This window comes from Homo sapiens, chromosome 9 (genome assembly GCF_000001405.40).
Source record: "Homo sapiens chromosome 9, GRCh38.p14 Primary Assembly".
NCBI lineage: Eukaryota > Metazoa > Chordata > Mammalia > Primates > Hominidae > Homo > Homo sapiens.
Window position 1 is genome coordinate 33,517,692 of NC_000009.12, and position 21,072 is coordinate 33,538,763.

The following is a 21,072-nucleotide window of genomic DNA, read 5'->3' on the forward strand; positions in this document are numbered from 1 at the left end:
AAACACATTGTAACACAGAACACTGGTACAAATCTTAAACATTCCCTGATAGGCATCGTAGAGTTTTTTGGTTTGTTCTGTTTTTTTTGTTTTGTTTTTTGCTCCCTAGAGATTAATAAGCAGAATGGGACCCTCAAATTTCAAAGCATGCAATAATGGTCCCCCCACTACTGGGACCCCTGCTAGTTACATGTTTAAAAATTAATTGATAACTGATTTTGGCCAGGCGCAGTGACTCACGCCTGTAATCCCAGCACTTTGGGAGGCCAAGGCAGGCAGATCATCTGAGGTCAGGAGTTCAAGACCAGCCTGGCCAACATGTTAAAACCCCAACTCTACTAGTGGCGGCTCAGGCCTGGAATCCCAGCTACTCTCGAGGCTGAGGCAGGAGAATCACTTGAATCCGGGAGGCAGAGGTTGCAGTGAGCTGAGATCACACCACTGCACTCCAGCCTGGGTGACAAGAGCAAAACTCTGTCAAAAAGAAGAAAGAAAGAAAGAGAAAAAGAGAAAAAAATTAAGGTCCTCTCTGATGCATGTTTTAATTTGTATTTGTATAAATTTAAGGGGTACGAGTGTAGTTTTGTTACACGAACATACTGGGTAGTGGTGAAGTCTGGACTCGTAGTGTAAACATTCCCTGAAGAGTGCACATTATATCCACTATGAAATTTCTCAACCCTCACCCCTCTGACTCACACACCCTTCTGAGCCTCCAATGACTATTATTCCACTCTGTGTCCATGAGTATGTGTTATTTAGCTCCTATTTATAAGTGAGAACATGCAGTATTTGACTTTCTGTTTCTGTTATTTTACTTAAGATAATGACCTTCATTTCCATCCATGTTGCTGCAAAAGACATAATTTCATTCTTTTTAAAATTTTGAAGTTTATTTTAGACATAGGGATACATGTGCAGATTTGTTACATGAGAATATTGTGGATTTTGTTGTTTTTATGGCTGAATAGTATTCCACTGTATGCATACCACATTTTCTTTAGCCAATCATCTATTGATGGACACTTAGATTGATTTCATATCTTTGCTATCATAAAGATATGGAATACAGCAATCCTGCTACTGAATATATACATAAAGGAGACATACTATATAAAAAAGATATCTGCACTTGTATGCTTAGAGCAGCACTTAGGTTGATTCCATATCTCAAAGATATAATATTTCTCTTTTATCTATATATCCAGTAGCAGGATGCTGGATCCAGCCTGGGTGACAAGAGCAAGACTCTGTCTGAGAAAAAAAAAAAAAGAATGAAAGATAGAACCTCACAACAGATTCAACAGAAATTTTAAAGGAATTTAAGATATTATGAGGAACAACAAATGTCAACAAGTTTAGCAACATAAATGAAATAAGCAAATTCCGATAAAGACATTAAGTAGCAAAATTGACTAAAGAACAAATAGAAAATCTTAATAGATGTATATAAAGTAAAAAAAAATTGAATTAGTAATTAAATATATTCCCCCTGAAGAAGAGTGTAGTGCTAGATGCCTTAACCCATGAATTCCATTTAACATTTAAGGAGGAAAGTATACCAGTCATACACAAACATTTCCAGCAAATACAGAAGAGAGGATATGCCAAAACATTTTAGAAAGCCAGTATTAGCTTGATACCAAAGCAGGATGGAGACATCAGAAGAAAAGGAAAGTGCCAAACAATATCTCTCATAAGTTTACGTCCAAATGTATTTAACAACCTGGATGCAAATTACATCCAACAGTATGTAAAACGATCATACACTACATGTCTCTGGAATTAATACTAGTAATGCAAATTTGGCTTACTATCTAAAACACAACGAACATTGTACATCATATAAATAAAGTAGAAAATCAATAGAATCATGTCAAAAGACATAAAAGAATTTTGGCAAAATCCAACAATAATTCCTGATAACTCACAACAAACATGCAGAAAAAAAATAAGTGACAAAACTAACATAAAGGACAGAAGAGAGTAATTGGAATTATACCATTTTAAGGCTCTTGTCTTTAACAAAAGTGTTAAAATATTAATTCAGGCTGGGCGCGGTGGCTCACGCCTCTGATCCCAGCACTTTGGGAGGCCAAGATGGAGGGATCATGAGGTCAGGAGATCAAGACAATCCTGGCTAACATGGTGAAACCCCGTCTCTACTAAAAATACAAAAAATTAGCCGGGCATGGTGGTGGGCGCCTGTAGTCCCAGCTACTCGGGAGGCTGAGGCAGGAGAATCGCACGAACCCAGGAGGTGGAGCTTGCAGTGAGCCAAGATTGTGCCACTGCACTCCAGCCTGGGCGACAGAGTGAGACTCCATTTCAAAAAAAAAAAAAAAAAATATATATATATATATATATATATGTATATAAATTCAAGGTAGACTGTGATAAAGATACATATTGTAATTTTTTTTTTTTTTTGAGACGGAGTCTCGCTCTGTCACCCAGGCTGGAGTGCAGTGGCGTGATCTCGGCTCACTGCAATCTCCACCTCCTGGGTTCAAGCGATTCTCATGCCTCAGCCTCCCAAGTAGCTGGGATTACAGGAGCACGCCACCACACCTGGATTGGTTTGTATTTTTAGCAGAGACAGGGTTTCACCATATTGGCCAGGGTGGTCTTGAACTTTGGGCCTCATGTGATCTGCAGGCCTCGGCCTCCCAAAGTGCTGGGATTACAGGTGTGAGCCACAATACATCCGGCCTATGTATTGTAATCTTTCAACTAACAATTTAAAAAATTGAAACAAACAGATATAGCTAAAAAGCCAGCAGAAGAGAGAAAACAGAAGACTAAAAAATAATCACACTAAAGAAAGAATCAAGAAAAAAAGAAACAGAGACAGAAAACAGATAGCAACAGGGTACACTTAAATCTAGTCATTTCAACCATTACATTAAATATAAAAGGGCCCAGCCTTCATAGCTCACGCGTGTAACCCCAGCACTCTGGGAGCTGAGGTGGGAAGATGACTTGAGACCAGGAGTTTGAGACCAGCCCTGGCAACATAGTGAGATCCTGTGTCTGCAAAAAAAAAATTTAAATAATAAAAAATTAGCCAGGCACAGTGCCATATCCCTGCGTTCCTAGCTACTCAGGAGGCTGAGGTGAGAGGATCCTTTGACTCTAGGAGTTCAAAGTTGCAATGAGCTATGATCATGCCACTGCAGCCCAGCCTGTGTGACCGAGCCAGACCCTGTTTCTAATACATAAATATAGAAGGACTGGATATCTCAATTTCAAAGTTCAGATTTTCAGATGAGATTAAACAGTAAATAAATAAACAAGACCCAACACTATGCTGCTCACAAGAACCACATTTTAGATACAGACACAACATTTAGGCAAAAGTATAGATGTAAATGTGCCATGCAAATACTAATCCTAAAAGAGTTGGTGTGCCCATATTAATATTAGATAAAGTCTTCAGAACAGGAGTACTGCCAAAGATAAAGGTGTCGAGTCATAATCAAAATAGGCCAGTTCATAAAATTAACAATCTTAAATGGGTGAACCTAGTGAAACTTCAAAATGTGTGAAACAGACATCAACAGAGTAAAGGTGACGATCATCAGATCTGCTTTTCAAGTGTATGTGGAACATTAATCAAGATAGATTAAATACTGGACCATAAAATAATTCTCAATAAATATAAAAGGATTTAAATCATAAATCAAAATTTTGCTCAGAGTTTGTACTCTGAGCAAAATAGGACTACATTAAGTCAATAACAAAAATATATTCAGAAAAACCTTAATATTTGGCAATTGAGCAAATAACTTTTAAATAAAAATGGATATAGGAATAATTCTCAGATCTATATTTAAATTTTTAAATTGTGTTAAAATTTTAAATTTAAGTATATAATTCAGCAGCATTAAGTACATTCCCAGTTTTGTATAACCAGCATCTTCATTTCTATCACAAACAGAAATAAAGTACCCATTAAACAATAACTCAGCCTTGCTCCCTCTCCCCAGTCTCTGGGAAACACTAATCTTCATTCTATTTTCACAAATTTGCCTATTCTAGATATTTCATATCAGTGGAATAATAGAACATCTGTCCTTTCGTGTCTGGCTTACTTCACTCAGCATCATGTTTCCAAGTTTCACCCATGTTGCATGTATCAGAACTTCATCCTCTTTAATGGCTGAATAATATTCTATTATTTATGTATCATATTTTGTGTATCCATTCATTTGTTGATGGACACGGGTTGTCTCTGCCTTTTGGCTATAACAAATAATGCTGCAATTAACTTCGGTGTAAAAATATCTGTTCCAGACCCTGCTGCCAATTTTTTGTGTGTGAATAATGCCTAGGAGTGGAATTTCTGGTTCTCCGTGTGATTCTGTGAGGAACCACCAAATTGTTTTCCACAGCAAGTGCATCATTTTCTATTCCTAGCAGCCAGTTCACGAGGGCTCCAATTTCTCCACCTCCTTAGCAACATTTATTTTCTGTGTCGTTGTTATGAAAGCCTTACTAGTGGATGCAAAGTGGCATCTCATTTTGGTTTTGTCTTGCATTTTATTAATGAATAACAAATAATCGCTTTTGATTACTAATTCAGTCTCCTAGGTTATAGGTCTATTCAGATTTTCTCTTTTTTCTGGAGCCACTTTGGTAGTTTATGTCTTTCTAGTGATTTGTCCATTTCATCCAGGGCACCTAATTTGTTGTTGGACAGTTGTTCACAGTATACTCCTGTAATCCTTTTGTATTTCTGTAAAGTTGGTAGTAATGGCTCTGCTTTCATTTATTATTTTAATAATTAGTCTTCCATCTTTTGCTCAGTCAATATAGTGAAAGGCTTGATCTTTCAAAGAATCTATGTTTATTTATTCTACTGCTCTCCAACCTTTTATTTTATTGATTTATGCTCTAATTATGCTCTTTATTATTTCTTTCCTTCTGCTAGCTTTGGATTTAGTCTTTTTTTGTTTTCTTCCACTGCCTTTAGGTATAGAGTGCGGATATTGATTTGAGATTTTTTCTTAAAATGTAGTTGTTTATATCCATACATTTTCCTTTGAACTCTACTTTCACTGCATTCAATAAGTTTTGGTATGTTTTGTTTTTATTTTAATTTGTCTCAAGATATTTTATAATTTTGCTTGTAATTTATTTTTTCACTCACTGGTAGTTGAAGACTGTATTGTTTAATTTCCACATTTTCATGAATTTTCCAGTTTTCACTTATTTATCTGTTGTTTCTTCCATTGTGGTTGTAAATTATATTTTGTATGATTTCAAACTTTTAAAAATGATTAGGACATATTTTGTGGATGAAGATATGGCCTATCCTAGAGAAAGTTCCACATAACTTGAAAAGAATGTATATTCTGCTGTTGTTGGGATGGACTGTTCTGTATATGTGTATTAGCTCTCAGTGGCTTCTACTGTTGTTTAAGTCTTGTATTTCTCATGAAGCTTCTGTCTGGTTTTTCTATCCATTAATTAAAATGAGGTATTGAAGTGTCCAACTGTGACTATAGAACTGTGGGTTTATCCTTTCAATCCTGTTAATTATTTCAGCTTTACTGAGGTGTAATAGAGAAATAAAAATTGTACATGTGATGCGTTTATATGCACATTCTGAAATGATTACCAAAATGAAGTCAATGAACATGTTAATTACCTCACAGAATAGTTACCTTTTCGTGTGCATGCGTGGGATAAGAAAACTTAACTCTATCCCCTGTGACTGCAGAGTGGCCATTTCAGCTGCTCCAGGCTCAGGCAGAGGAAGACCAGGGCAGGTGGCACCACCAGGGGGGCCCTCAGGCCTGGCGCGCACGCATTCCAGAGGCCACCCAGACCATGCTCCGCTGCCTGGGCGCCCAAGCTGCAGTCGCCCTCTGTGTGCAGGCAGCAGCCTCTAGGCAACTCCTGGGCCCGCCCGCACTCCCCACATCTCGGAAGCAGGGCCAGATGTCCCTGTGGCTGCGGCCGAGCCAGGCGGTCTGCCCTGCAGCAGCTGCACGGGGGCGGGAACCGGCCCTCAGCCCCATCCCCGGTGGCTGCAGAGGGCCCCTGGCTAGAGGTCTCGAGCTCTGGCAGAGGAGGAGCCGGGAGGGGGCAGGGTCTGGCGGGCTCTCAGGCCAGGGGCACCCGCGATCCAGAGGCCGCCCAGGCCATGCTCCACCACCTGGGCGCCCAGCTACAGGCGCCGGGCAACTCCCAAGCTGGCTGGCGCGCCCAGCCTCGCAGAACCGGGGCTAGATGTCGCCGTGGCTGCGGCCAAGCCAGGCGGTCTGCCCGGCGGCGGCTGCACCGGGGCAGGAACCGACCCTCAGCCCCATCCCCGCGGACGGTCCCTGGAGCGGCCCCGATCTCTCTTCGGAGAAGAGGGGCGGGAGTCACGGCCAGGCGGGAAGGGATGCGCGCCTGAGATTCCGGAACGTCCCGCGCCAGCCCAGGAGAACCCGCAAGCCAGCGGCGCCTGAGCCCGAGCTGCAGTCACCCTCTGCGGGCCACGCGAGCTCGAGGGCGCCTTCCGGAGTCCGGGCTGGCGCTGAGCTGTAGGCGCGCGCCTAACCGCTTTACTGGGCTCACTCTATCGAGAGGTCGGAGGCTGCGAGTGTCGCTGCTGAAGGCTGTAGTGGACCGGGCTGGATCGCGGATTCTGAGCTACATCGCGGGTTTGGGGGTGCATCTTGGATTTAGGGGTGGATCGCTGGGTGGGGAGGGGGATCTCGAATTTGGAGCTGGGTGGGGGTGGAAAGGCCACGAGGAGCCGCGGCGTCTCAGGAGCGGGTGGTGGGCATCTGAGAAGTCGCCACCATGAGGAAGCTCCTCAGTTTTGGGAGACGCCTGGGCCAGGCGCTCCTGAGCTCCATGGACCAAGAGTATGCGGGTCGGGGGTACCACATTCGGGACTGGGAACTGCGGAAGATCCACAGGGCGGCCATCAAGGGCGACGCCGCAGAGGTGGAGCACTGCCTGACGCGCAGGTTCCGGGACTTGGACGTCCGCGACAGAAAAGACAGGTAGCGGGGGCTCAGCCCTCGGTGGGAGGGGGCCCCCAGGCCCGGTTTCCCCGCACCGCCTGAGGCGGGGTCGTCGGAGTTCGCCGGGACCCTGGGAGCCGCGGAGCCAAATGGAGCCTCAGCTGCTTTCCATCGCTGGGAATTTCCCGCCTGTAGCGCTTGGTGGATAATTGGAGTGATTTAACTCACAAAGTTAAGCATATCTACGTTTAAAACATGGAGCCATATACATGATAGGGAGGTGCCTAATGAGAACTCATTCCCATGTCAAAAATACCATGAGCCATTTTCAGTAGGCGAAGAGTTCTCAGATAAAACCCTGTGTCGGTTTTACATCCAAATCCACCTAGGTAGATAGGTTCTTTACTGGGGCTTCTTAGAGGGACACTTGGAAGTGGGAGGTGGGTTCCTTGAATGAGAAGACTCAGTTTTCTCAAAATGTGAGCTCTTAATATGTTTATCAGTTTTACATAAACCGAATGAAAATATCAAGGTTTTATCATTTTTGCATGACACTTGCTGTCTGTCTTACCATTGTGATGACATTTTAAAATGTTTATGATGGAGTGAAAAACGACTTGCTCCTCTAGATATCAAAACGTGCTATTAATTCCCACAATTAATTATTTACTAACAGCTACAAACACATATAAATAAATGGAACAGAATAGGAAATCCAAAAACACTGAAATATATGTAAGATATATACATAGGGATTGATAATGGTAACATTTCAGATGAGTAGGAAAGGACGAGTTATTAATAAAATGCCTGCTGTGTGAAGAAAACTAATGAAATTTTATGTCACAAAAATGAGTTCCTGATGGAATACAGACTGAAATTTTTACATATGCAAAATTAGAAAAATACCAGAAGAAAACACAAAGACTTATTTATACAGGTACATTTTACGTTAACAGTGGCCTTCCTAAGAATGACCTCACAAGCAGGCATTCTGAAGGTTGATTTAGCAAACTAAAATTAAAATCCCCTGTGTATCAGAAAAAAATTAACAAAAGATAACACACTTGAAAAATATTTACTATATATATTTTTACTAATATATAAAAATATATATTCAGATGAAAAGTGTATCTTCATCCTACAGGGAATTTATTCTTTATTAAATATAATATATATATTACTGATTATATGTATAACAAATTGTATATATTAGTAACATAATGTTATATATATCAGTTATACATATATACAGATAAAAAGCACATCTTTATTTTACAGGGAATTCTTTCCAATCAAATCCACAAGAAAAGAACTCTAACAGTGAGCAAAGTACTTTTTGCAGATCCACAAGTTACTTATTTACATAGGAAAAAATCCTTAGTGTTTCTCCTAAGAGAATTTAAGTTAAAAGAGGAATGAGACTGTTTTCTATCCACAGTGTTTGTGAGAATAAAGAGCAGTGGCACTTACACTGCTGCTTGAAGTGTAAGTTGCTGATGACTTTTCAAGTGGATAATTTGGAGATAATTACCACATTTTAAAAATGTATATGCCCTTTACCCATCAACTCCATTGTATTAAAATACCTTCAGAAAATACAGATACATGCACTTTTTTTCCCCAGCATTTATGTTAACAAGAACCCATAGAATGGGTATGTGGCCATTGAAGGTGGCAATAGGTGGAGAAGTATGTTGATATGTGAAGATGCATTTTGTTACAGCCAGTGAGGAAAAACAAATCAGTTTGCTTGCACATACACACAAACATACTATGGTCTTGTGTTAGGCAAAACTATGCACAAAATAGGATAAAATTTGTAACTTCTGAGCATTTGTATTTTAAAGTTTTTTGTTCCTTTTTCTTACCTTTGATTTCTGAAGTGAGCATTTATAAAATTTCTAGTAAAAATTTATTATTAATGGAATAAATTTTGGGAAGAGAGAAATGTGAATCTTGTACAGATAAAAATAATTTCTCACTATTTTTTATCATTATTGTGAGGGTTGTTATCTTGTTTGAACTTTTAGCTTCTTCAGAAGTAAAAAGGGAATCTTTTTATCTGTGCTTGCAGATTTTATGTATATACTTTATTATGTATATATGTTTTTCTTATGTATAGATTCATTACATATAGGCAAACTGATAGATTAATCATTTCATTATAGTTGTCTTATCAAAATAACAAATAGCAAATATTATTACTATCACAAAAATATTGGTTTATAGAAGTTGTATTTAAAAATTTTGAGCTCCCCAACTGTATTCTATCAATCCATTTATTCATCAAACATAACCTGAATATGTTATGTAGCAGACATTTTGCACTATCTCTCAGGATGCTTCCATACTTAAAAACTTTATGTTTACCTGTTCTGCCTGAGCAAGATGAGAGATTTAAAATGGGAATAGTAGGACTTAATCTCATTGAAGCTTTTTCTCCCACCTTTCAAGCAAAAGCATTTCTGAAGGTAGAAAACAATAAGAGATAACCTTTAACTGCCCTTTTGAAAATTTATCAGTCTTAAATACTAATATTAATCATTGGAAAGTCTGATTTGCATATATTCTGTAAATCTTAAGTGTTGACTAAAATGAGCCATACCTATTCATCTCAATCATGAGTTTCCTTTAGCTTCATGTTTCTTTTTTTGTTTGTTTGTTTGTTTGTTTTCTTTTTGCGACAGAGTCTCACTCTGTCGCCTAGGCTGGAGTGCAGTGGCGTGATCTCAGCTCACTGCAACCTCTGCTGCCAAGGTTCAAGCGATTATCCTGCCTCAGCCTCCCGAGTAGCTGGGATTACAGGTGCCTGCCACCACGCCCAGCTAATTTTTGTAGTTTTAGTAGAGACAGAGTTTCACCATGTTGGTCAGGCTGGTCTTGAACTCCTGACCTAGAGATCCACCCGCCTTGGCCTCCCAAAATGCTGGGATTACAGGCGTGAGCCACCGCGCCCGGCCAGCTGCATGTTTTTAAAAATCAAAGTAAGAAGTAATTTGTTTAAAAAATATGTTGTTATTTCAGTGCTCTTTCCCCATGGTACTTTTAGGAATTAAAATGTATTTAAGTGTCAGTTAGATGCCTAGAACGGCCCTAGACCTGCTGTGTATACAGTATTCTACTTAATGTAAGGCCTCATGGATTGTGTGATATCCTACTATTTTCTACATTAATGAGATGATTTTTAAATGCTACCAATTATAGTTATAAAAAATTATGAATTGTAAATACCGCTCCAATATGAGATATGCTAAAATGTGACCTAATCTTTAAATCATCCTGCAAAATAGCAATAATTGTATCATTTTACTTAATTAAAATGTTTTTGTTAAATAGTAGTAATATAATTATAACGTCTGGCTGGGTGCGTGGCTCACACCTGTCATTCTAGAACTTTGGAAGGCTGAGGTGGGAAGTTCCCATGATGCTAGGAGTTTGAGACCAGCCTGGGCAACAAGGTGACATTCCTACTCTACAAAAAAAATTTAAAAATTAGCTGATCATGCTGGTGCACTCCTGTGGTCCCAGCTATTCAGGAGGCTGGGGCAGGAGGTTTGTTTGAGCCTACAAGTGCCAGGCTGCAGTGAGGCATAAATACACCATTGCACTCCAGCCTGGGCAAGAGAGCAAGACCCTGTCTCAACAAACAAAAGTCTAACAGTTATTGAGTTGTTGCTTGTTCTGGAAACAGTTCTAAATGCTTTATGAAGATTTTCATTTAAGCATCACAGTGGTGTCCTGTGAGCTAGCTGCTGTTGTCATCTTTATTAATGAGGAAATTCAGGCACAGAAAGGCTAAGCAATAGCTGGTAGGTGACCGAGTTCAAAGTAGAACTCAAGCCCTAGTTAAGCTGAATCCAAACACCAAGCTCATTCTATCCAAATAGGCTGCTGTTTCATTAAGGTAGGGAGCAGTAAGAGCTAATAAATATTGTACTTTCTTCAAAAGAAAATTATTTGTTTTGAAGGCAGAGGAATAATGCCATTCAATGTTTACAATGACATGAACCATTGTAGGTTTTGAGATATTGCACTACATTTCCTGAAAACCCCTCTCGCTCTCCTAGGACTGTTCTACATTTGGCCTGTGCCCATGGCCGTGTGCAAGTGGTCACTCTCTTGCTGGACAGAAAATGCCAGATCAACATCTGTGACAGACTAAACAGGACACCTTTAATGAAGGTATATAGTAGCCAACTCAGCATGAAATGGATTTGATTTAAATACATAGAATTAAAATGAATTTGTCTCATTTAAATATAGCTAGTTGGTGAAACCTGTGGAATATGTATTTTGAATTCTTAGAATTTATAGTCTAGTTTTTTATCTAACACTAATAGGCTGTACACTGCCAGGAAGAGGCTTGTGCCATTATTCTCCTGAAACGTGGCGCCAATCCAAACATTAAGGATATCTACGGCAACACTGCTCTCCATTATGCCGTGTATAATGAGGGGACTTCACTGGCAGAAAGACTGCTTTCCCACCATGCAAATATTGAAGCACTAAACAAGGTACAGATCAATCAACTTTCTTTTCAAAATGTTTGTTTTAATATTGACATAGGTAAGAGTCAATTTTTCATATTTGGAACTCAAGTATTCCTGAATGAAAATGTTTTGAAATAACTTAATTGTCTAAAATTTTACTTTAAATGTTGATACTTTTAAAGGAGCATTAGAGGGCACAGCTATTTTAGTGCACTTATGGGAAGTATTTGTGAATTTGTTAAGGTAAAACTTCTTCTTTTCAAGTATTTGTTTCCTACCCCAGGTGTATTTTTTTTCTAATTAGTGTGAAAACATCACAGGAAAAAAATTGCCCTGGAAATAGGCTTTATCTTAAAACTCAAAACTAAAGCAACTTACAATAAATAGAAGTATTGCTGCTGATGGTTTTCTAACAAAATGGATGTATCTTTCATGGGCAAGGTTTAAGACGGAAAAATAGGAAGGGAAAAGGAGAGCAATCAAAAACATGCAGGTCACTTGGAAATTAGGTAATGAGGGAAAATGCCAAGAATAGGTTTTGTTTTTTAGTTTGTTGTTTTTCCAGTTTATGTATTGAGACAAAGCGCTCTTCAGCTTTGGGGTAATCATTTTTGGTTTGGTAAAAAGAGTGACTGAAACTTGCCTAAAGATTAATTTTTAGAGGACTCTGAGGAAAACAGATTGGCAGTGAATATACGGTGATGAAGTGAGAAACACTTCAGCAAAGGGTGGAACAAATTAGTAACTGATTTATTACCCATCCCGGCAAAAACAGCCACTTAGATAAGAGTCTAAACTCTCCTTTCAAATCTAGAATATCTTGATGGGAATGTGGGAGATAAGCAGCTTATAAATAGCAAAATCAACTGGGATTTTGAGTTTACTTGTCCCTGTTATACCCACACCCAGGAAAATTAATTGGAGTTTTAATACATAACTCTATCTCATACTCTTCTCTCTGGCCACATCCCAAGTTGATAAAGGATATTGGCCATGTGGGTGAGAGATGAAACTGAAGTGATTGTCTGCTGCAGTATTTCTCAGCTAGGATTGTGCATTACAATGACCTGGGGAAATTTTGTTAAAAGTCTACAAGTGTAGGCTTTCCCCTGAGGATTTTGATGTAATAGATCTAATAAGTTCTGAACATGTATGGTTAAAAATATTTTCTTGAAGCCATGCACAGTGGCATGTTCCTGTAGTCCCAGCTACTCAGGAGGCTGAGGTGGGAGGATTGCTTGAGCCTAGGAGTTTGAGTCCAGCCTGAGGCGGGCAGATCACGAGGTCAGGAGATGGAGACCATCCTGGCTAACACGGTGAAACCCCGTCTCTACTAAAAATACATAGTAAGACTCTTGTCTCTTACCACAACAAGAGCAAAAAAAAAAAAAAAAAAAAACCTCAGTGTTCGAATACACTCCTGATTAAGAAGCACAGAATAGATAAGTGCAGGATATAAATTCCCGTATCTCAAAGACATAAGAAATCTCTAAAAGAGTTGGCATTTGATAGGTGCTACTTTCTTCAAAGTTCTCTTTTCCAATAACATTAAACTGACTTATCTGTCTTTCTCTACGTTTGTGACTGGGAAGTGAAAGGAAATATCATTGGCAATATCACTCAGCTTACAGAATGACACTTTTTGCTTCCCACCATGAATCATTCACTGCCATTCAGAAAGTCTTTAGCAATTTACTTGTGGGTAATCTTTCAATAAGTAGAGGCTGACCCTTTCACAATTTCATGTTCCTTTGTCACCATTCAAGTGATTATGTATCAACAAATGTTCATTACAAGTGAGATTTTCTCAGTTAGATCAGTAGCAAATCTTGAACCTTTTTTTTTCAGTTGCAGTTGTATTAGGGACTATCTCAGTATGTCTGTTAAGGTTATAGAGCTTTGGCATTATCGGGATGTCAGTTTTAAACACTGAAATCCTTGAAGTCAGTGAGAATGCAATAGGAATTCTTTTAATAATTTAGTTTCAGCATTCCTATGAACTAATTGTCTATTTGGTTAACAATCTGGGAAAATTATATACACATAGATTGCAAATGAATAAATGTTGGGAAAATTCTTGAGGTGGGTATTATGAGTGTTAACAGCAATTTTTATTATGTATATATCAGGGCCTGAGTTTTTTTATTAAACATACGATACTAGACAGAGAAAAAGTTCCACATGCAAATACTTGGTTTATACACAATCATTTAGCAACACATTCATAGCAAATATAAAAACACAAGAGCTATAGTCTAAATGTGGTGTATAGATTTGTTCTTTGCCTCTTTGAATTGAGTCAACATGTAAACTTTAGTGGACTCATGCAGAAGTCTGGACCTCAGGCTTAAGAAACAAATCTGGTGTCCCCAGAACCACATCACTGCTTGGTCTGCTGCGCAGAGGTTGCCCTGGGTAGGAGGCACATATTCTCCAGTTTGCTACTGTGCCCACCTGAGTACTTCACTTACTTAGGTAACCTCCTTCATCCTTATAAGTATTTGAGTTTACAACTCCTTTTTTATAGTATATTTTCATAAAGATTTCAAGGTTTTCAAGACAGCATATATTGGTTCATAATATATAGTCTATAGTTTATATAAATCCCTCAATTATAGAGTTGAATTTTAGAATTCAGAAGTTTTTTTAACTCTTTTTTTATATCTATACCACAAATAGTCATCTGCTCATAAGAATGCCTAGAAGCCCTTTTAGGTTATTCCTGCTGAGAAGTGGATAGATTATGAATATTGCAGACATTATATCTTTCTTCTCAGCAATGTCCCTTAAAAATGCAAGTGACAGCTGGATGCGATGGCTCATGCTTGTAATCTCAGCACTTTGGGAGGCCGAGGAGGGCAGATCACGAGGTCAGGAGATGGAGACCATCCTGGCTAACACGGTGAAACCCTAACTCTACTAAAAATACAAAAAATTAGCCAGGTGTGGTGGCAGGTGCCTGTAGTTCCAGCTATTTGGGAGGCTGAGGCAGGAGAATGGCATGAACTCGGGAGGTGGAGCTTGCAGTGAGCAGAGATCATGCCACTGCACTCCAGCCTGGGCGACAGTGTGAGACCCCATTTCCAAAAAAAAAGAAAAAAAGTGCAAGTGACTTATTGGCTCTTATTATGCTAGAAACAAGCCCTATACATCAGTATTAGAACTTTTTTTGATAAGCCATTGTATTTTTATTTCTGATTTATATTTTGCCTAAAGTAAAAAAATAATGTTAAATAGCAATTTAAATGGAAATCAATACAAATGGATTTAAAAAGTAAAGTTGCATTAATGTCCCAGGATTATCATTATAATTGAGAATAGAATTTCTTACTGAGCTTTGCTTTTTAATATTTATTTTCAAAAAATTTTCACTGGTCTCTCTTACACAGAATATACTGAGCTTTCTAATAGTTAAGATAAAAATCTATCCTCTTGCATTAGGAGAAATCCCATGGAGTATTTAATAATAAGGAAAATAAGTGCATTTGAAGCCAATCTCTCTTAATTCAGAGCTCATTTCCTTAGTGGCCCCTTTGGATCAGGAGTGCCTGACATTGGCATCCTGAGACCATTGATAGAAGTAAATCAAGCAAGTTTGTGCCACCCAGAGGAAACCTCCACTTGTATTGGGAAGCTCTGGCAACTGTATCCCTGAAACTCTAGTTCCTAAAATGTTAATGTTTGCCACAAAAAGTATTGTCAAACTGAGATTAGGCAAAGTTCAAGGGATTTCTAGATTGTTGGCCATGTAATATAGTTTTGTAATACTTCTCAAATGCAGATGATCATGGAATCTTTTTGTTAGGGTACAGTTCTTTCGGTAAAACAACTACTCTTTGAAATATAGTTTAAGAAACACTTCTCTAGAGGTAATAATTTAGATCATTAATTTATTTTAAAAACTTAAAGCATTCGCTACTATGTCTTAGGTTTTAGGGTTATAGAGAAAAAAGATACAGCCCTTGCCCTTGAGAATCTCTTGGTTTCAGTGGGAAACAATGAAATAATTACAATGGACTGTGCTAAATGCTGAGATAGAAGCAAGGATTTTTGGGACTGGTAAATAAAGTGAGTTTTGGAGATGACCGAAGTTAACATGGGGAGGCAGAGGAGGGGTGTTTCAAGGCAGTGTGTGGGAAAGCACAGAGGAGTGAAAGGGACGGGACTGCTTTGCATTTACTTTCTGTCTATATTGCATGTTTAAGTTCATAGCATCTTATAGAAGATTTTTAGTTCAGTGGAGAAATATGTAATTTTGTGAATTATAAATTGTTTTTGCTTTCTTACAGGAGGGAAACACTCCACTTTTGTTTGCTATAAATTCCAGGAGACAGCATATGGTGGAATTTTTATTGAAGAACCAGGCAAATATACATGCCGTTGACAATTTCAAAAGGTGCAATAGTTTTTGTTTTCTGTTTTCTTTTTTCCTAAAAACCTGAGTGTTCTAGAGTGGTAACAGTCGCTCAAGTCAGAAATGTTAATAAGATTAAACTTATAATTATTGGCATATAGTAAAAAATAACATGAATAATCAGGTAGAAAAGAAGTTATTTGGACTAAGCAACATAAAAAACAGTATATAGTAGGATTCATCTTCTCTTATAGACTGTTATTTGTAATTTGATGTTTTTGTCCTGTAATCTTATATTAGCTAAAGGGGTTTTGTATTTTATTAATTTTATGAAGTGTAGACTTTAACTTTCAGTTTACAACTACTACTATTACCATTATCATTATTATTATTATTATTATTATTATTATTATTATTATAGTTGTTGCTGTTGTTGTTGATGCTGTTGTTTTCAGCCTGCAGATAGCTCTTACTTATTTGATCCCTAGCTGACTTTGAATTACAATATAATTCGAAGCAATGGGAAAGCAATGGGAAAATCTTCACCTAAATCTTTGCCCACTTTCAATAAGTGACCTCAGCACAGTTTCTTGGCCATCAAAGGACTATAAATTAGCAATTCGTATTACATCATATCCCAATGGGACACGAAGCTTGCTTGTTGTCCCTGCCTTTTAGCCTTGGTGGTAATTTAACAAGATGAACACTTGAGCACCCAAGATGCTTATACACATAAGCTAGTACATGTAAATGGTTATTATGTCTATCCTGACAGGCAAGATATGAAATTGGTAAAGTGTATCCAATTTGCTAATTAAATATCTTTATCAAAGTTCTTGAGTGCTGTTATTTCTTTATTGTTTTAGAACAGCCCTCATACTTGCAGTACAGCATAACTTGTCAAGTATCGTCACCCTCCTGCTTCAACAAAATATACATATCTCTTCTCAAGACATGTTTGGCCAAACTGCCGAGGATTATGCTTTTTGTTGTGATTTGAGAAGGTATGTGCTTATATTAAAAGACCGGTTAATACTAAATTAAGGTTTTAAATAATTATAACTATTGCATCTTATACATTAGGTGACAGTTCATAGTTTGGTTGAGGTAGTTTGGAATGGCAACAAGTTAGTCCACTTCTTAGCCAGAAATCACACAGAAAGCTAGACTAGTTAGAAGTAGCAATGAGTGCAAGATTCTTTCCGGACTTTTAAAGACCTTTATCCCTAGGAATGTCAGTGTTGTTCATTTTATTCCAAGTATAACTCTTATATATGAGATAGAAATAATGTCACATCTTTTACTTTTTCTTTCTTTCTTCCTTTTTTTTTTTTTTTTTTTGAGACAAGGTCTCACTCTGTTGCTCATGTTCCTGAGTTCAAGTGATTCTCCTGCCTTGGCCTCGCAAACTGCTAGCCACCATGCCTGGCCTGACTTTTCTAATTAGTTATTGGGTCTCGAAATGTCCACTTTAGCAGAAAATCTTGTATTATCCCCTGGGGCTACCTCCTATGCCTTCCTCCTTTGAATTTTTCAAAAAGCTAAGGGGTTCCCTAAGCCCAAGGAAGACAATCTTGCTTTACAAGTCAGAAGAAGAGGGGAAAAGGCCATTCTAGTCATTCTGTTGTTTCCATTGATTCACTTGCTGTATTGCTGCCATTGTAACTGGTCCTGCAATCTGGTAATGATTGACTTTTGCCACCAGGATGCCCTTACTGATTCAGATCCCTCACTCTTCATGGTGACTCATACACAGAGTCCACAGCTACAGTGTTTTGTTTTGTTTTGTTTTGTTTTTTCGAGATGGAGTCTTGCTCAGTCGCCCAGGCTGGAGTGCAGTGGCGCAATCTCGGCTCACTGCAAGCTCCCCCTCCTGGGTTCACGCTATTCTCCTGCCTCAGCCTCCCGAGTAACTGGGACTACAGGCACCCGCCACCATCCCTGGCTAATTTTTTTTGTATTTTTAGTAGAGACGGGGTTTCACCATGTTAGCCAGGATGGTCTCGATCTCCTGACCTTGTGATCCACCTGCCTCGGCCTCCTAAAGTGCTGTGATTACAGGCATGAGCCACCACACCCGGCCCACAGCTACAGTGTTTCCATAATAATGAAAATCTCTCATATTTATATGAGATTATATTGCATATAGATTATATAATCTATATATTATATAATTATTGTATATTATATGTAATTATATTATTTTTATATTTATATTATTTTATATTTTATTTATATTTTATATTTTTATATTTAATATTTATATTATCATTATAAATATTATATATAATTATTATAGATTATATAATCTATATATTATATATAGATTATATAATCTCTTATATTATAATGAAAATCATTATAAAAGTATTCATGTAAGGTGATCTGTGAAATGAGAACAGAGCTGAGTAGCACACGGGATGTTACATGCAAATATGTTGTTAGTACATGACTTGGAAATGAGGAAACATCAACTTCCATCTCTTTCATGGAACTGAAAAACAATACAAGCAGGGCTTTGTCTTGTATGCCAGTTGGAGAGGACCAAAAAGGTGCAGCCTCTAACACAGACCTGCTGGCTCTGAGTCTGAGGAGGTAGAGAAGGAATGGTAGTTGTCCCAGCCAGGTTTTGACACCTATTAGTTTTCTGCCCTTGGTGTGATTGATGAGCTCAGTAACAGGGGACAATTAGAGTATATGTTTTAATGAGATAATAATATATTTGTATATAAATTTAGTTACAAGTTATGAACTAGCTAAAATGCTCTGAACTACAAGCCACAATGAATAGAACTAATAACCAAAATTAGCACTTAATAACATTCTCTGAAAACTGTGACATTCAAATATTAGAAACTATGGAAAAACACTCATCAGGTTTTATTTGAGATTCCAAAATGGTTTCAGCAATGCAGTTCAAGAATAAATTTTTCCATTGCTTTACTATTTCTCTGAACATTTAAACATGTTTTCTCATTGCATCCTCCTAATTACCTAGTGAAGTCAAGTAGTAAAACCTTGATTTTTTAGAAGAAGCCATGGAGGCTAAGAGAAGCAACTGATCTGAAAACAAAATACCTATTGGTTACAGAGCGAGGACTTACTGTGAATGCAGGACAGTTTCCAGGCTGTTAAGCTAACTAGAATTAATTTACTGAGCTATGCTTTTCTCAGTTTATGAGTACTTCCTGTTTTTCTTGTTTAATTAGAAGCTTAATAAGTTTATAGAGCTTAAAATTTTAAAGTGTATTGGACATTAGATTTCTGATATTAGCTCTGATATTGTCTGAAATGCTTTAAGAATTTAATCTGTTTGGTAAATATTTTTCATATCACTATTAAAATACTAATTTTATTACATTTATTATGCATAGCATCCAACAACAAATTTTGGAACATAAAAATAAGATGCTTAAAAATCATCTTCGAAATGACAATCAAGGTAAGACTTCTGATAGTAAATTTCTCATTTCCCTTGGTGATCTTACTGATTTTAAAAAGCAAAATTACAGGCCAGGCATGGTGGCTCACACCTGTAATCCCAGCACTTTGGGAGGCCGAGGCAGGTGGATCACCTGAGGTCAGGATTTTGAGACCAGCCTGGCTAACATGGTGAAACCCCATGTCTACTAAAAATACAAAAATTAGCTGGGCATCATGGTGGGCGCCTGTAATCCCAGCTACTCGGGAGGCTGAGGCAGGAGAATCACTTGAACCTGGGAAGTGGAGGTTGCAGTGAGCTGAGATTGCACCACTGCACTCCAGCCTGGATGGAAGAGCAAGACTCTATCTCCAAAGAAAACAAAAAGAGTAAGATTACATATTTTTAATCATAAAAGAGCAGTTTAAAAAAATATGTTTATATATAAATTAATTTTTTAAATTTAATTTCTTTAGAATTCAGAGTTATTTAAGAAGTTGTAGCTAATTCTCAATCTCAAACCGTATTGTCTGAAAAAATTCATTTACCTACTTATGATCCCTGAAATTCTACATATTTTTGTATTAATATAAATAAGAAATTAGTTTAAGTTAATATGTTGCAATTTCCTCTGTAATTACATTGTTACGAATTGGACTTGTTATGCAAATGGATCCTCTATTTAATTTTTATAGCAAATGGTTTACATTTAGTAAATAAATATTAATTCCAGTTGATTCTTGAATATTGCGGGGGTTAGGGACTCTGATCCCTGTGGAGTTGAAAATCTGAGTATAACTTTGACTCCTTCCAAACGTAACTACTAATAACCTACCGTTGACTGGAAACTTTACTGATAACATGAACAGTCAGTGAACACGTATTTGTATGTGTTGCATTATTATATACTATGCTTTTAGAATAAAGTACGCTAGAGAAATGAAGCTGTTATAAAGAAAATCATAGAAAAGAAAAAAATATACTTAGTATTCATAAACATAAGCGAATCCTCCCAAAAGTCTTCATCTTTATCATCTTCAGGTTGATTAGGCTGAGGAGGAAGAAAATGGTTGGTTTTGCTGTCTCTGGGTTGCAGAAGCAGAAGAAAAATCTGCATATAAGTGGACCCCTGCAGTTCAAACTCTTGTTGTTCAAGGGTCAACTGCATTACACAGGAATTTGTGTCACTAAGAAAGTAACTGTCTTTAGAACTAGGAATTCAACAATCCCTTTCTGACACCATAAACAAATGGCAATAAGAACCATAAAACTGAGCTAATGTGCACCCATACAAATAGGAGATTATTTTTGAAGATAGCTACTGAATGCAGAAGACAGAAAAGTAATTCCTTTCCAAGAGGCAGAAGTTATGTTTCATATTCTTATACAAACAAGGTCTATTTTTAATTTATTCACCATAAGGTGGAACCTCATGAGATATATTCACTTCTTAGAACAAGCTGTGTTTTTTTATGTGCTGGATAATTATCATAATAATAGTAATTTTATTGGAACAAGATAATCTGTTACCAGGCTGGGCCTGGTGGCTCATGTGTAATCCCAGCACATGGCAGGCCAAGGAAGGCAGATCACTTGAGGTCAGGAGTTTGAGACCAGCCTGACCAACATGGTGAAACCCTATCTCTACTAAAAGTACAAAAATTAGCCAGGCATGGGGGTGGGCACCTGTATTCCCAACTACTCGGGAGGCTGAGGCAGGAGAATTGCTTGAACCCAGGAGGTGGAGATTGCAGTGAACCGGAATGCACCACTGCACTCCAGCTGGGTGACAGAGCAAGATTCCATCTCAAAAAAAAAAATACTCTGTTACCATTAGGC

The 21,072-nt window shown here is 37.9% G+C and overlaps 1 protein-coding gene across 2 annotated transcripts in view, besides 1 other annotated feature; it reads left to right on the forward strand.

Moving 5' to 3' along the window:
* Nucleotides 5,927-5,976: an enhancer, noted in NCBI's record as "active region_28298". NCBI's record gives its function as "activates an Ori minimal core promoter by ATAC-STARR-seq in GM12878 lymphoblastoid cells {active_cell/tissue: GM12878}" and the evidence as "EXISTENCE:reporter gene assay evidence [ECO:0000049][PMID:35858748]".
* Nucleotides 6,560-21,072, forward strand: part of ANKRD18B (ankyrin repeat domain 18B) — a 51,192-nt gene continuing 36,679 nt past the window's right edge. For both annotated transcript variants that reach the window (NM_001353432.2, NM_001393611.1), the window contains exons 1-6: nt 6,560-7,004; nt 11,036-11,150; nt 11,309-11,482; nt 15,748-15,854; nt 16,679-16,816; nt 19,187-19,254. In NM_001353432.2, coding sequence (NP_001340361.1) covers nt 6,799-7,004; nt 11,036-11,150; nt 11,309-11,482; nt 15,748-15,854; nt 16,679-16,816; nt 19,187-19,254 — 808 coding nt within the window. In that variant the 5' untranslated portion in view covers nt 6,560-6,798. The remainder of the gene's footprint in view (nt 7,005-11,035; nt 11,151-11,308; nt 11,483-15,747; nt 15,855-16,678; nt 16,817-19,186; nt 19,255-21,072) is intronic.